Source organism: Homo sapiens, chromosome 5 (assembly GCF_000001405.40).
Source record: "Homo sapiens chromosome 5, GRCh38.p14 Primary Assembly".
Taxonomy (NCBI): Eukaryota; Metazoa; Chordata; class Mammalia; order Primates; family Hominidae; genus Homo; species Homo sapiens.
In genome coordinates this window covers 32,060,351-32,077,822 of record NC_000005.10, presented here as the reverse complement: position 1 = coordinate 32,077,822, position 17,472 = coordinate 32,060,351, and the positions used below count along the sequence as shown (strand labels likewise).

The 17,472-nt window shown below is 42.9% G+C and overlaps 1 protein-coding gene across 8 annotated transcripts in view; it reads right to left on the bottom strand.

Annotated features, from left to right (window-relative positions):
* Positions 1-17,472, bottom strand: part of PDZD2 (PDZ domain containing 2) — a 471,802-nt gene that overhangs the window by 33,110 nt on the left and 421,220 nt on the right. For all 8 annotated transcript variants that reach the window (XM_005248269.5, NM_178140.4, XM_011513992.3 and 5 more), the window contains 6 exons: positions 16,689-16,821; positions 8,173-8,254; positions 6,405-6,439; positions 5,506-5,662; positions 3,180-3,991; positions 217-361 (listed from right to left, as the gene is read on the bottom strand). In XM_005248269.5, coding sequence (XP_005248326.1) covers positions 217-361; positions 3,180-3,991; positions 5,506-5,662; positions 6,405-6,439; positions 8,173-8,254; positions 16,689-16,821 — 1,364 coding nt within the window. The remainder of the gene's footprint in view (positions 1-216; positions 362-3,179; positions 3,992-5,505; positions 5,663-6,404; positions 6,440-8,172; positions 8,255-16,688; positions 16,822-17,472) is intronic.

The window sequence follows — 17,472 nt, the reverse complement described above, 5'->3', positions numbered from 1 at the left end:
ACCACGCCCGGCTAATTTTTGTATTTTTAGTAGAGATGGGGTTTCACCATGTTGGCCAGGCTGGTCTCAAACTCCTGACCTCAAGTGGTCCGCCCACCTCGGCCTCCCAGAGTGCTGGGATTACAGGTGTAAGCCACTGCGCCTGGCCTGTATAATGCTTTCATTAGGGTATCTCCCCACCTACTTTAAGATTAACAAATGGGAAAATAATCTTACCAGTCATGGGTTGTTGCCCCAGCTCTGATGCAGCTTTGGGCAGGTTCTCTGTGAGGTGGCTGGCATCCAGATGGGACAGAGCACTGGCTAGTTCACAGCTGGTAGAGACACAAGCATCTCCAGTGGTCAGCTTTCCCAGAGATTCCTGGCACAATGACAACCACAAGCCACTTGAAATAACTTTCAGGCTTTCTGCACCGTAAGATGAGATCATATATAGAGAGCAGAGCTAGTTCAGGAAAAGGCAAAGGGGCCCTGGACTAGGAGCCAGCAGATCCAGATTGTGGGTTTAAGGTCTGCTAGGAATTAAATGGTCATATCATTCTTCCCCAAGCCTCCATTTTTTTCAACTCTAAAATGGGCATAAAACATTCCCAGTCTTACTCATAGAGCTTAAAAGAAGACGATTAAATGAGAACAGTTATAAAAACAGCACATATAAGGCTAGACAGATGTAAGGTATTGTTATTATATTGCATAGAGATATCCAAGACTATAACACTAACTCCTTAGTTTGGTAGTGAGGGAATGAACGAATCTGGATAAACAAAATTGACATTTCATATTTCAAGACTTCACTTTGGCTAAGTGTCCATTACTTTCTCTTCTTCTACCTAACATTCAATGCAATGAAATTCTAAAACTAACAGTTAAATCAGCTTCATGTGAAATTTATCCATTGTGAGTGATAAAGTGGCCCAAAGGTGGCAGCAGAGCACAGAGGTGAAAGGGATAATATGTCTTTCAGCAGCTTTGGTAAGAAATCTTTTCATAAAATGTCAGTTACCAGCTGAGGGAAACCTAGATAGAGTTTAACTCAGTTAATTTTCTATTTATTAGTAACACAAATGTAACATAAAAACAGTAGAGGAGTTTCAGAACTAGACAGAGGTGGTGGGTCATATTGCATTCTGAATGTACTAAGTGCCATTGACTTGTACATTTCAAAATGGTTAATTTCATGTTATATGAATTTCACTTCAATTTAAATCAAGTAGTAAATAAAAACAGAATTTAACTCACGTACCAAAAGAGGAAGGTTTTTTCTTCCAATATTTGAGGACATATACTTTATAGCAATCCATTCTATTTTCTTTCTCAGATATAAATAAAATCAAATTTTGTAACTAAAATTTTTATGAGAAAAATTAGTCTTGTACAAGTTTCAAATGCTGCTCAAAAGTTCATTCTGAGAGTATTAACTTAGAATTACAAAACTCTTATTTTAATAGATATAAATTATTATGAATAAAAACCCTAATTTGCCTTTATACAGTTATCCAAAACTTGTGATTTGTTTTTTTTTTTTTTTTTTTTTCTTGAGACCGAGTCTTGCTCTGTCACCCAGGCTGGAGTACAGTGGCACGATCTCAGCTCACTGCAACCACCACCTCCCGAGTTCAAGAGATTCTCCTGCCTCAGACTCCCGAGTAGCTGGGATTACAGGTGCACACCACCACACCTGACTGATTTTTGTATTTTCAGTAGAGACGGGGTTTTGCCATGTTGGCCAGGCTGGTCTCTAATTCCTGACCTCAGGTGATCCACCTGCCTCAGCATCCCAAAGTGCTGGGATTACAGGCGTGAGCCACTGTGCCCGGCCGATGCTTTTTAAAAGAAGAAATTTACCCAATGGCCAAACATTATATTTTAAAACACAGGTAGTGGTTGGAGGTAAAATATGATATTTGAGGAGAAGGAAAAAAGATGTGCATTTCTATTAAAACAAAAATAAGGTTAAAAAAACGACTTTTGCCTGGTATAGTTTTTATGACTTAGCATTTTCCAGGTCTATTGACATATATGTTTATATAAACCACTTGAACACACATCTATAATAATATGGCTTTATAAGTCATCTCAGATTCTTTGTTCAGCGAGAGAGAGAGAGAAGTTATTTATGTTAAGGAGATTATAAACAACATTGATTTCTCGTACTGTCTCCTTGATAAAGTAGAGGTATATTGAACATTTTTAAAAATGAACAATTTGATATTCTAACATACTCGTAACCAAGTAGTAACATAACCAATATTAACTTGCATTTAATGTGGTACATTATCAATTTCTAAGTGAATGCATTCCTGTTATTCCATATGATACCACAGCAAGGTTATGAGTGGCTATAATTATATATAACCAATGTAGAAATTTGGAAAAATATAAGGATCACTCATAACCTTATCAGCTGGAGGGAATCACTGTTAACATATATTTGATGGTCCCTCCAGCTCTGTGAGATGACCAAGGCAGAGAGCACCAGCCCAGAGAACTAAGCTCAGAAATGTTTAATAACTTGCCCAAGTTGTAACTCGACCAGTGCCAACTAGTCAGCAGTGGAGCTCATGCCAGGCCCATGGTTTTACTTTCCCTGTGCCACACTGCCTTTCCATCATTAGCCACAGGTGCTGTGTACAGGTAAGACAGAGATTCTATAGTATCTTCTGGCCAAATGATCTCATGACTAACCTGCTGATACATTAATAAGCTCCCTAGGCTGGGTGCGGTGGCTCACGCTTGTAATCCCAGCACTTCAGGAGGCCGAGGCAGGTGGATCACCTGAGGCCAGGAGTTCGAGACCAGCCTGACCAATATGGTGAAACCCTGTCTCTACTAAAAAATACAAAAATTAGCCAGGCGTGGTGGTGTGCGCCTGTAGTCCCAGCTCCTCGGGAGGCTGAGACAGGACAATCGCTTGAACCTGGGAGGCGGAGGTTGCAGTGAGCTGAGATTGCGCCACTGCACTCCCGCCTGGGTGACAGAGCGAAACTCCATCTCCAAGAAAAAAAAAAAAAAGGCTTCCAAGCAGTCCAGGTATTTAAGTGACTGACTCTGTTGAAAGATAATTCTCCAGCCATCATCCTTTCCCACTGGCAGCTTACCCATGCTTTACAACAGACTCCATCTTCACTCACACATATTCATGCACTTCCATTCCAAGTAACTAAGAGAAAGTCAGTTACCTTCTCCACAGCTCCACCTGGCTGAAAGCCAGCGACAGTCACTTTGACAGAAGTGGCCTGGACTCTCGAGTCCAGATCGCATGGATCATTGGCTCTGCCAGTCAGGTTCACTGTCTGTGAGCCACTGGGCTTGGCCTCAGCCTCGGATCTCTTGCAGTGGGGGCTTACCCTGGCCACTGGTCTGTGCCTGGAGCCCAGGCCTTCACTTTTCTGCTGGGGGGAACTGGGGCTCCCAGTGTTCGTCGGACTCTGGGTGTCTGTACGGACTGTGTATTCCAATTTGGGTGCGCTACTTGATCCTGACAGTTCCTTCTTCCACCAGCTTCCAGGGCTCCCCTTGGGGGCCTCTGCAGAGTCCGTGAGGTTGGCTGCATAGGACGCAGCATCCACCATGCCCTCTGGGATACTCTCCTCTAAGTCCACTGAGCTACCAAGAAGAGGTGCCGAGATGGCCTTGCTCACCAGTGTTTTCCGGGGTCGTTCCTCTTGGTTGTGGACGTCCATGCCCTTGGAAGAGGAAATTGAGACACGCCTCGGGTCATCCTCTGACAGAGGCCTGATGGGACCCGGGAGGGCCCCTGGGAGTGAAATGCAGTCCCCTTCTCTGTCAAACTCTTCCTCATCACTGGCATCGTTGGCATCGTAGCAGCCTACCTTCCTCTGGCGGAGGAGAGGGTTTCGGAGGGCCTGTGGGCTTCCGGGGAGACTGGCTTGTCTGGCAACTGTCACCTGCTTGTGGAAGAGCCCAGAAGCCCGATGGCTCCCAAGAGTCACGAGGCTGTTGGCTCTGGGTTTTCCAGGCTCCTTGTGAGCTGGTGGAGGTGGGGACAGAAAAGTCAAGTGAAATTGAGCTTCCCACTTGGCCCTGTCTTATCATCTGACCCCATCATTACACATAAGCATTTCCACATTCACTAACACCAGACACACAGCCTCAGCCACTGGACACAAGGCCTAGGCAACATGGCTTCCTGGAGGCTATATGGAGTAGATAGGCGGGCTATCTTTCTCTTTTCCCTACTGACCTACCCCCCCCGCCCTTTTCTTAAACCCCAACCTCTGGATTAACTCAAACGTGTGCTGTTGGAAGACAGAAACTTAATACTTCCACCTCCATGATTATCTAACACATTGTTAGGGTTTAACCTAAATGCTGCTGAGAATTCCTCCATAGAAGGATGCCTGGGGACTGATGACATGTCCCACACACCTGGGCTGCCTTCTTGGCCCCTTGAGGTCCTTCCTTCATCTGCAGAAAGGGAGGCTTGATTGACAGGCACGTGAGTGCTTTTGCAGCATGAACTGTCCTATGTCTTAAAGATACTCTAGAACAATGCCAACCTGAATCTGCAACGATTTTTATATCTTGTTAAATGCAGTGAAAAATTACACGTTTGCACCTTGAAATGTTTCTATAAGAACAGAGCAAACTCATTGATAGCTCCGAATGAGTCAGAGTGGTCGTCGCCTGCCTCTCCTAAAACAAGGGGATTTTCTTCTTCAGATGTTAGAAATTAAGAGGAAACCTCACCAGCAGAAAGAAGTCTGAGAAATCGGTATGGATCATATCAGATTATCATCTCATATTATCTCAAATTGATATATCAATGAGATTAAAAAAAAAACCTTTTGATAATATGTCTCTTATGAGTTCTTAATCTTTAATTTACAGCCTTCTACAAAGAATGAAGCTAGGGCCTGGTGAGGGAAGGGACCTGGAATCTGGCTGGATTCCCTAAAATGTAAGGGCATCAGGTTGCCCATCCTGATTTGATGCCATAAAATTCAAGACTACATTATGTAAAGGGCATTGAAAGGAGGTCTGGTTTAGCCACCATCCACCCCTGACTATAGAATGTGTATCCAGCCCATTTACTGAGTAACTGAGTGGCCAGTCACTAACAGTGGCTGCATTTTCCAAGAGTAAACTCTCAGGGTACAGCATTGTCTAATGGTGCGATCTCAGCTCACTGCAACCTCTGTCTCCCAGGTTCAAGCAATTCTCCCCACTCAGCCTCCCAAGTAGCTGGGATTACAGGCGCGTGCCACCACGCCTGGCTAATTTTTGTATTTTTAGTAGAGATGGGGTTTCACCATGTTAGCCAGGCTGGTCTTGAACTCCTAACCTCAAGTGATCCCCCCGCCTCGGCCTCCCCAAGTGCTAGGATTACAGGCGTGAGCCACCGCGCCCGGCCTGGTCTCCAGCTCTTTTCTCGTATTACAGCGCCAGGGTAGCTAAACCATTGTAGCCGCCAGCACAGAGGTGGAAACCAGTCACTGCTGACTGGAATGCAGAGCCCAGGCCCTCTGGGGCACCCCTGCTTACTGGAGGTGCTGGGAGGCAGGCTGCCCTCCTCCGACGTGCTGCAGCCACTTCCCGGGTGATCCTCGTCCTCAGAACCGGCCACCATGAAGTCTGACAAGGGGCCAGGGACATCGTGGGCAAAGTACTGGGAGAGTTCAGATTCAGAAATAAGGGAGTCCTGTTGAAGAAGAAAACATCCGATAACTAAGAAAACACAGCAGAAGCAGACTTTCAAGGGTTATTACGTCCTATCTTTCCAAGAACACTTCGTTCTAATCAACGGTCACTTGAAATAGCTGTGATAGTAAACACCAACCTCCATGTACCTCAGAACGGCTAAATTGACAACTAATAAATAAAAAGGTGACTGCTGCCAGACAATGTTTTTAGAGACTTTTTGTTTTTGGCTAAATTTTTGGCAATGATCGGAAAAGCCACAGCAGCAACACATCAGCCATCCCAGGAAAAACACTGGGGGGATGCGATGGGAAAGACAAATGTGATTCAAGCCAACCAGTCTAGCCAAATGGTGAACAAAAACCAGGGGAGTTTGAATCCTGCACCCTGACGCACTGAGACTCAGCAAGAGCCTAGCTGAGGAAGATTGCGTGGCCTCCTTAAAGCCCCAAGTCCTGACTCACGCTGCTTTATTATGGAGCAGTTTGAAAACTTATTTTGCAAACTGTAGTTCAGTTCTTTTATTTTGTTGCTCTGTTCTTTTCCTGGATAAGTGTTTAGCAAAAGAAACACACATTTTTGCATCTATTCTCAAATGAGCATTGTTGCGATTTCCTGTATAAAGTGGCAAAAATGACTCATGGGCAGAAACAGGGACTGGGCCCTCCGGCTTGACTTGTGGGCTCCAGGAATTAGTTTGTGGTCCAGCTGAGGGAGGCAGGTAGCAGTTCACCTTGACTCACCTTTTTTGCAAGAGAGGGACTCTTCAAGGGGGTACCTGTTGGAGGGAAAATTCACCATATTGTCAAAACAATAAAGCTCAAGTCACAAATAGGCTCACATCCTTAACTAGAAAAGGAGGCGGCAAACACAGTAAACAAAACTCCCTTTGCTTGATGACGGGCTGCATGCACAGGGTTAGACGTGCATGCAGTCTACCTGCGTACCTGATCCTCATCCCCATCCCATCTGCCATGATGCTTCAAGCCCTAACTCAGATGCTACTACCTGCATGATGATCCCAGTTAGAAGTAATTTCTTCTGAATTTCCAAAGTGTTTTATCCTACCCACACATCAACTTTCATGTACATCATATAATGTATGAGTGGATGTGTCTTGTCTCCCTTCTTCAATCTACAGAGCAGAAATGTTGACTGATCTGACCCCACGGAGCTGGATATTTATTTTCAGACGGAGTTGGACTCTTGTTGCCCAGGCTGGAGTGCAATGGCATGATCTCGGCTCACTGAAACCTCTCCTGTCTCAGCCTCCCGGGTAGCTGGGATTACAGGCATGCGCCACCACATCCGGCTACTTTCGTATTTTTAGCAGAGATGGGGTTTCTCCATGTTGGTCAGGCTGGTCTCGAACTCCAGACTTCAGGTGATCTGCCCGCCTTGGCCTCCCAAAGTGCCGGGATTATAGGCGTGAGCCATGGCGCCCGGCTCCATGGAGCTGGACATTGTACTTCATATCTACTAAGTGTTCGGTGATAATTGCTGAATGGATTGAATTATGAATGAACAAATGAACATCACCCAAGAAACTCATGAAAGAACTGAGAAGATGACTGAATATCTATTTTAGTTTTTAACTGTAGGGTGAAAAGGCTCAGGATTTAAACTATATGCCATGAAGCAGAAGGGACTTTGGGCATGAGGATTACAGCTTAATAAACTCTTTATAAATGATCAAGTGGAAATGCTGGGATTATGAGAGCACAGCTTTCAGGCAGGTCGGGATGATGAACTGGTTGAATAGAAAGCCTATGATGGCTATGTCCACTTCAAATGTATTAATTATGAATGTAAATAATCAGGGTATTTCATGATTGCCAAAAAACCCTATGCTTTCCTTTTCCTCTGACAACTAATAACTTATGTCTCAGTTCCTTTTCCTCCCAGGTAGCAATCTGAACGTCAGTATAATCTCAAGCTCAGAAATGTGTGAAGAGTCCCTTTAGGCTTCCATGCTAAAGGAAACTTTATTTTTAAGACTTGATATGTTTCATATTTTAAATTCATATGAAATTCCTACTATCTCAAGCCTTCTCTGCCTGAAGTTTTCCACTTGAGCGAAATCATGATTTTTGCTACCTCTATTACCCTTTTGAATGGAAACTTTTTAATTCATGTAAAGAAATCTCAGGCTTTTTGGTAGATAATACTCTGCATCTACCAAACTACTGAAATTCTGGGTATCGTTTCCCTTTCATCTTTAGCATTTTGAATGAATCAAGCATATATACATGCAACACTTCTAACTTACCTTTGCAAATTATTTGTAAGTACTATAAGAAGCATGCATGATTAGATCTTTAATGAAGCACATTAAATAACTGCAGAAATCAAAACTAACAGCCAAGAGAAAGCATAGACTGTCTTTGACAGCTACTTTTGCCAAACCTGATAATTACCAAGAATCCAATAATACTGCACTGGGGAGTGCCTGTGGGTGAACTTAATGAGAAACTCTTCTGAATGTTGAATGAAAATGTGAGATTACAGTACCTAAGCCAGGAGAGGAATTGGCCTCTTTGCTCTCCTGATAAGTGCTGCGTGCTATGACTTCATCCATTTCCTGCTCGGAAACCTGATTTTCAGCAGAAAGCAAAGATTAGATGGTTTTATTTATTTATTTCTCCCAATGAAAGTACCTAGGACCAGAGTCAGAGTCAAGTGCAGATAAAGAGGCAAACCACAGGGCCAAGGATTATGACCATCCTCCGAAGCTGTAACTCAGAGCATGTAAGAAGTCCAGCAACACACACATAACAAGACTTTTCAACTGGTGCCCAAGTTCATTAAGCAAAGCATTCAGTGCTATGATTACCAACAACACAGCTGATATCTGCCTCTCCGGAAAACTCACTTCAATTTTTTTTTTTTTTTTTTTTTGAGACAGAGTCTCTCTGTTACCCAAGCTGGAGTGCAGCGTCTTGATCTTGGCTCGCTGCAACCTCCGCCTCCCAGGTTCAAGTGATTCTCCTGCCTCAGCCTCCCAAGTAGCTGGGACTATAGGCGCGCACCACCACGCCTGGCTAATTTTTGTATTTTTAGTAGAGACAGGGTTTCAGTATATTGGTCAGGCTGGTCTTGAACTCCTGACCTTGTGGTCCACCCACCTCGGCCCCCCAAAGTGCTGGGATTACAGGTGTGAGCCACCGCGTCCGGCCTAATTCTTTTTAAGCAATTTTAAACCTACATAAAACATGTAAGAGTAGTGCAAGAGTAGTATACTTTTCACCTAGAATCACTAATTTTTAACATTTTGCCACATTTACATGCATGTCCTCCCTACACAGACACATACACACACACGCACACAGAATTACAGCTTTTTGCTAAACCATTTGTGAGTAAGTTGCAGACATCGTGACCCCTTACCCATAAATATTTCAGCATGGGTCTCTTAGAAACAAAGACATTCTTTTAAATAACCATGATACTATTGTCAAATTCAGGAAATGCAACATTGATGACTGTGTAACATAGATTTCATATTCCAGTTTGACTAAATACTGCATACTGACAGTACTTTTCTAATAGTGTCCTTTGCAAGTACTACTCAAAGTGTGTCTGTAGTCTGGGACTAGCTCACAGAAAGTTTAATGCCAGCCTGTGATGAGATAAGAACTTAACTCCACAATGCAAATTAGCATACGGCTTCATCAAAATCATCATGCTAAGGAAAAAATGTCAGCTGAACTATGTAATAGTGTGCATGGTGACACAATGTTTACATTTTGGTGCAAGCACATCTTGCTGTGGACCTGTAGCAGGCTGCCATGGATCAACTTCTTTGCATAGTGATGTTTTATTACGAAAATTGTTTTTGGCAATCCAGGATCTAGTTGTTGTATGTCTTTAGTCTCCTTTAATCTGAAACAGCTCCCGAATCTTCCTTGGTCTTTCATGGCACTGATATCTTGGAAGAAACCAGGCCAATCCAAACCTTCAATTAGGATCTGTCTGATAGTTTCCTCATGCTTAGATTCAGATTACGCATTTTTTTTTTTGGCAGAAAAAGTACAAGAATGATTTCCTTCTCAGTGCATTCAGAGGCACTAAGGGTCAATGTGTCTTATAATCGGTGATAACTTTGATCTCTTGATTAGGGATGGAATTTGCCAGATTTCTCCACTGGAATTTTTTTCAGTCATTAATGAGTAATCTGTGAAGAAACAGTTTGAGACTATGTAAATATCCCGCTCTCCAATATATTTGTACCCCATGGTTTTGGCATCATTGACTATTATTGCTTAAATCAAGTATGACTATGAAGCTTTCAAAACAGTGCTTCTATAAGTTTTCTATTCCTTCTATATTTATTAGTATCATGGCAGATTCATGGATGTTTTTCTGTTGTTATCCATAACTGTCATTATTCATGGGAAGATTTTTTTAAAAAGCCTGATATATACTGAAATATATTGATTAAAATAGTAAGAAAATGTGGAGTTTCTTTTTTAAAGGTAGGAGTATTTAAAACTTAGAATGGTAATTTTATGTACTAAAATAATATTTGGCATAAGCAATGTTTGGATAAGCATGGCAATTTGTCTTAATAAATATTTCTATATAGAATTCAGCATTATATTTTATCATAACAGGCAAATTATGATGACATTGTGGCCTTTATGTAATGCTTTACGGTAGGCTTCACAGGAAATAAAACATGTACACATACATGCACTCAGGCATATATACTTACACACACACCCCCCTCCACATAGTAGAGAATAATTTTATATAAATGAGTCAGGGAAAATATCAGCTTAAAGAGTGGTTGCTGTTTTTCTTAATACTAGACTTTCAACATTTGCAATTGTTTTTTTTGACTAGGAGAAAAATGGACTTCTATTACTTTCTTCCACTTAACATAAGTTAGAAGCTGCTATCCCAGCAAGTCCAAATCTCAGCCTGACTAGACCTGGAAGGCTTAAGTAACCCAACTGGGCAGCAACCGCTCCAGACATTATGAGAAACAGAAGAAAAGAAATCCTTGTGGTATTTCTCTTGGAATAACAAGAAAACTAAGCAAGCACATACATTCAGTATCAAAATGTACCATTGGCATGAAATGCTGGGCTAAGTGGTACAAAAATACATTAAACATAAAATGGAATCTTAACCAAAAGAAAAATACAGCATGAGGTTACAACTAAGAACACCACGTTTACCTAGGAAGAAACATGAAATCCAGTCAAACAAACACTGGCATTTAACCAAATGCCGGACATAGCTCCAACACTATCACAGACGACCATTTTATTGTGGCTAGAAACATGGATGAACCTGTATGGTCAATGGCATGGCGGCCACCAGATATGATGCTTTGCGCTGAAATGCCATTTGGATGTTTGATTGTATTGGCAAAATAGGCAGGAGTTTTGGAGCTGAGATGAACTAGACCTCTGAACAAATCATGACCCATGTTATGCTGTTATTTTGAAGTCAGACATGCCTTGAAGCCAATGACTGCAAACCACTGAAAACTCAGTTTTCTGTAACATTGCTGACGGATGAATTAGGGCAGCCAGAGGTTACTGGACTGCTTCCCGAGGTGAAAGGAGGTGATGTGGGTGGTAGACTCCAACGGGAGATTCTGGAGGAAGGAGCTGAGAACTGCTTTAGATGCAACCTTCAGGCAAAGAGAGCCAGCAGTGAAACAAAAGAGAACAGATTTTAAGTGAAGATGTCAGAACCACAGAATAGAAAGGAGAAAAATGGGAGGTGACAAGGAGGAAAAAACAGAAAAAGGTGGAAGCAGGACTTGGTTGGTTTGATTGGATTGAGTGACTGATTGATTGACTTGAGATAGAGTCTCGCTCTGTTGCCCAGGCTGGAGTGCAGTGGCGTGATCTTAGCTTACTGCAACCTCTACCTCCCAGGTTCAAGCAATTCTCCTGCCTCAGCCTCCCGAGTAGCTGGGATTATAGGCATGTACCACCACACCTGACAATTTTTTTTGTATTTTTAGTAGAGATGGGGTTTCACCATGTTGGTCTGGGTGGTCTCGAATTCCTGACCTCAAATGATCCACCTGCCTTGGCCTTGCAAAGTGCTCGGATTACACATGTGAGCTACTGCGCCCAGCTGGTACTTGGATTGATTGATTGATTGATTGATTGATTTAGACCAAGTCTTGCTTTTGTCCCCCAGGCTGGAGTGTGATGGTGCGATCTCGGCTCACTGCAACCTCCGCCTCCCAGGTTCAAGCGATTCTCCTGCCTCGGCCCCGAGTAGCTGGGATTACAGGCGCCTGCCACCACGCCCAGCTAATTTTTATATTTTTAGTAGAGACAGGGTTTTACCCATGTTGGCCAGACTGGTCTAGAACTCCTGATCGCAGGCGATCCACCCGCCTTGGCCTCCCAAAGTGCTGGGATTACAGGCGTGAGCCACAGAGCCCGGCCTGGTTTTATATTATTTATTCAAAAAACTCTGGATGCAAGACCTTTCTGAGGATGCATATAGGGAACACAATCTGAAGAAAAGCAGAGTTGCCTTTGCATTAGTCTAACGGCAATTTTGTCCCAGCACTGTTGTTGACATCACATCCCCAGATCAAGACATAGAGCCATAGCTTGATAGCACTAATTTATCCTGGGGAGGACAAGGACCACAAATGAACATCACTGAGTGTCTAAATTGATGCCACCAAGAAATCTCGGATATGGCACATAGAGGGACCCACAAGGTCTCTTGGCATAGACTTCTTACTCTTAAAGTGGTGTACCAGTCCATCAAGCACAGTAGCCTGGGAACATTTAGGATGTAATTAAGCAACACTACAAGGAATACCAAGGTATGCCCATATGACAGGCATGGGTAAGAAGTATTTTTTTTGTTTGTTTTTTGAGACAAAGTCTCGCTGTGTGGCCCAGGCTGGAGTGCAGTGGCACAATCTTGGCTCACTGCAACCTCCACCTCGCAGGTACAAGTGATTTCTCCTTCCTCAGCACTGGAGTAGCTAGGATTACAGGTATGCACCACTACACTGGCTAATTTTTGTATTATTGGTAGATACAGGGTTTTGCCATGTTGGCCAGGCTGGTCTCGAACTCCTGACCTCAAGTGATCTGCCCACCTCGGCCTCCTAAAGTGCTAGGATTACAGGCATGAGCCACTGCACCCGGCCAAGAGGTAATATTCTTAATGAACACTTTGATTTTATTTCTTTACTTTTTTGAGACAAAGTCTTGCTCTGTCACCCAGGCTGGTGTGCAGTGGCACGATCCTGGCTCACTGCAACCTCCATCTCCTGGGTTCAAGTGATTCTCGTGCCACAGCCTCCTGAGTACCTGGGATTACAGGCAGCCGCCAGCACACCCGGCTAATTTTTGTATTTTTAGTAGAGACGTGGTTTTGCTATGTTGGCCAGGCTGGTCTCAAACTCCTGACCTCAAGTGATCCACCCACCTTGGCCTCCCAAAGTGCTAGGACTACAGATGTGAGCGACCGCACCCGCCCTTAGTGAACATTTTGAGTTGCTGAAAGGAAAAGCTAAATTTTCTTAAATACAACTTAACCACAACATTAGAGGTAAGCTAATTTAAAAAGACTTTTACAACAAGCGCTCAAAAGAATAAAAAATAGTGTTAAAAGTGGATTGAGGCCGGGCGTGGTGGCTCATGCTAGTAATCCCAGCACTTTGGGAGGCCAAGGCAGGTGGATCACTTGAGGTTAGGAGTTCGAGACCAGCCTAGCCAACATGGTGAAACCCCATCTCTACTAAAAATACAAAAGATTAGTTGAGCGTGGCAGCGCCCGCCTATAATCCCAGCTACTCGGGAGGCTGAGGCAGGAGAATCACTTGAACCTGGGAGGCAGAGGTTGCTGTGAGCTGAGACTGCACCACTGCACTCCAGCCTGGGCAACTGAGAGAGACTTTGTCTCAAAAAAGAGAAAAAAAAAAAAGTGAATTGAGTTGGTTCCTTCTTTTCCTCTGTGCGTCCAAAAACAAACAAAAAAAAATTGGGTTGAGTTGAGCTTGCTGAAGTGTCCTATGGTTAGCTTCAAAAAGTTAAAGGCAACTGTACAAGTATAGAAGAGATATAACCAAATAACAGCCAAGTCCAACAATGTAGGGACCATGATTATCTGCAACTTCCGTATGGGTCCAAGAGTGTGACGCTGATGCTGAGAAAAAAATTAGTGGGCTCTTAGGCCTTAATTACAGAAGTACTCTGCTCAGGTCAAGGTTGGCTTAGACAGAGGAGGAGCCACTCTTTAAATTGGGTCTTGTCTTTCATCAGTCTAACAACAGTAACATCCTCACACTCTAACAAAATGCTTAACATTCTTGGGGTCATGAATGACTGAGAATTTGATAGAAGCTATTGATTCCGTCCACAATTGCAAATCTATTCCCACATTTGTGTAGTTCGTAATGTCCTGGTAAAGGTCCCGTGAACTTCAGGTTCAGAGTAGGCTGCAAGTTTCTTGAGATACATTCTAATTAATTGTGTATCCCTGGTATGTTGGCACTGCCTGGCACCCAGTAGAAGCTCAATAAATGTTTAGGTAATGAATTTGATATAGGATGAGAATAGATGATCTGAATCGCCCTGGCTGGAGGGAGACAGGGAAGGATAGTCCGTCTGTTGATGCCTGGCAGCCTGCCTGCCTGCTTCACAACCTCCACACCCATCCCAATTCACCCCCAGGGCCTCCTTGGTGCCTCTGCCTCCTGTTCAATACCAGGTTCACATGGGCTGGTGGTACCCAGGCTAAGCAGCTAACATTAGACCTGAAGGATCTTCTCTCTTTCCTTCCAAGTAAAACTTGTAAGTAAGAAAGAGTCATTTAATAAATCATTCTCAGACCGGGCGTGGTGGCTCACATCTATAATCCCATCATCCAGTGGGAGGATCACTTGAGGTCAGGAGTTTGAGACCAGCCTGGCCAACATGGTGAAACCCCGTCTCTACTAAAAATGCAAAAATTAGCTGGGCATGGTGGCGCATGCCTGTAATCCCACCTACTCAGAAGGCTGAGGCGGGAGAATCACTTGAACCCAGGAGGCAGAGGTTGCAGTGAGCCGAGATCACGAAACTGCACCCCAGCCCGGGCTATAGAGCTAGACTCCGTCTCAAATAATAATAATAATAATAATAATAATAATAATATTTCATTCTCAACAGAAGACTATATGGGTATCTTTACAATGATAAAATGTAAGGAGCTGCAGTGACATACTATGTCCGTTGGCTCAAGGCCCCATGTGGTTCCTCTGGTCTCCCGTGGAGCCATCTGTATTAGATAAACCAAAGAAAGAACTCCCACTTTCAGAATGTGTCGTTAGAGGAACAAGCAAAACCAGTATTGGAAAATGTGAATGCACGTTAAATGTCATGGTCAGGAGAATTTCAATACATATTTATGCTGCTTAGGTAGATTACAGAACAATTGTGTGAGTAGTTAATGAAAAGGATCCTGGCATGAATTTAAAAATTTAGTCTTGGCCGGGCACGGTGGCTCGTGCCTATAATTCCAGCACTTTGGGAGGCCAAGGTGTGTGGATGCCTTGAGCTCAGGAGTTCGAGACCAGCCTGGGCAACATGGTGAAACCCCATCTCTACCAAAAATGTAAAAATTAGCCAGGTGTATTGGCACGCACCCATGGTCCCAGCTACTCTGGAGGCTGAGGTGGGAGGATCGCTGGAACCCGGGAAGTCGAGGTTGCAGTGAGCCATGATTGTGCCATTGCACTCCAGCCTGGGTGACAGAGGGAGACCCTGTCTCAAAAAAAAAAAAAAAAAATTTAGTCTTGAGGACTTGATCTATCAGAAAAATAGTATCCTTCATAATTTTGCATAAACTTAACAAATAACTTTTCCATTATAGTTTATTTGAAATGCTGGGCTTTATTTTTTCCCCAACTTTGATGGAAGCAAAATCTACAAAGTAACATTTGCAAATAAGCATTTGGTCTGCAAAGCCAGATTTCATCTTATTTTCATTTATTTGAATTTCAAGATAATCATTTGATAAGATAAACAGGTATTTTTCTGACTCAACAGTTAAATGAACATTAAGAAGGAAACATTCCTCCACAAATGTGAAGACATTTATTTGTCCTTTAAAAGTATCTAACGTGGGGCATGGTGGCTCACACCTTTAATCCCAGCCCGAAGTGGATTGATTGCTTGAGCCCAGGAGTTTGAGAATAGCCTGGGCAACACAGCAAGACCCCATCTCTATTTAAAAAAATATTTTTAAAGTAAACTGAAAAACTTTCTACTCTAGAAATTCTATGGAAACACAGAAACAATTTAAATTAATTAAGTATATTACCCAAGTTTAAGTTAAATTCTAAATAGTTTTCTTTCCAACTATTATGAACAATTTATTTTTATACTTATCTTGACACTTTCTCATTTCTTTTTATTTCTTATTTAAAAAAAATAAAGATGAAGTCTCACTATGTTGCCCAGGCTGGTTTCAAACTTCTGAGCTCAAGTGATCCTCCTGCTTCGGCCTCCCAAAGTGCTAGGATTACCAGTGTGAGTCATCAAGCCTGGCCCTCATTTCTTAATTGAACAAAGTTTAAAATTCACTGAAACTGTTTTAAAAATAAATTAATCATTCAACATTAAACTTAAAGATGAGAGAATTCCCAACATATGGCCCAACAAAAGATGTGGTAAGAAAAGCCTTCTTATCTTGAAACTGACAGGGTCATAGAGATCGTCCAGTCCAAGGCTTGCAGATTCTGTTGTTGCAAAAACCCAAAGAGGTTAAGTATCTCACCAGAGCTCAAAAAGCCAGTACTCAGAACACAGCATTCTTACCTCCCACCAGACAAGTTTCAAATTTACCAGATAACATTGTCAAAATGTTCTAGTAAGATTTTCTAAGACTGTGAAGACAAAGTCCAGATTAGAGATTCATTTCCCACATGAACCACCCGTAGGTTGCCTGCCTATCCCCAGCTGGGAAAACCATCTCACCAAAGAGTATACGATATCCTAGGAAGGTGTATCATCTTCCCACGTTCAGAAGAGGGTGGACCACCTCACCTTTGGATTAGGGTGCCGGCCGATGACAAGGCGAACGGGTCCTGGAGGGCATTTACTCAAGATGGCGTGGACTTTGCTTAAAGCAGCATGGCGGACGTTGACGGAGTTCACTTCCAGGATTTGATCCCCGCGGCTAGGGAGGGCAACAGAATCCACACTCTGTGTTAGCAGCCAGCTTCTTAAAGCTAAAATAGCCTTCTTGCTAGGAGAGGTTTATAATATGAAATCTTTTCTGAATACTTTAAAGAAGCTCATATCTTTTCCCGTTGGCATACATGTAAAAATGCAACACATTCATAAAAACACATTCGATTTTAAGTGGGCAAAGGTCATTATGCATATTTACTGGCATTTTCAGAAACAGCAAAGTCAAATAAAATTGATAATAAGGACAATGATGAAACCTACCATATTTTGAGCATATACTATATGCCAGGCACTGTACAAAGCATGCTGTATAACAAAGCTTTGAGTAAGTAAAATTATTCCCATTGTGCAGATAGGAACACAGGCTCAGAGGGGTCACCCAGATGTCACACACTGTTGAACTAACTCGGGTCCGTCTGACTGTCAACCATCACATGACAGAACCCCTCGACCACCAGCAGTTCTCTCTTCCTACCATCTTGAAATGATTATTATAATATAACTTAAGGAGGAAATAGCTGAGGCTCAAAGGTTACCCAACAATTTGTAAAAACGTTTCAAATTTGAACAAATGAGAAATTGGGGACAAGTTGCCCATTTTGACTGGAAATTACAGGGAGAGAAGTCAGTAGGAGAG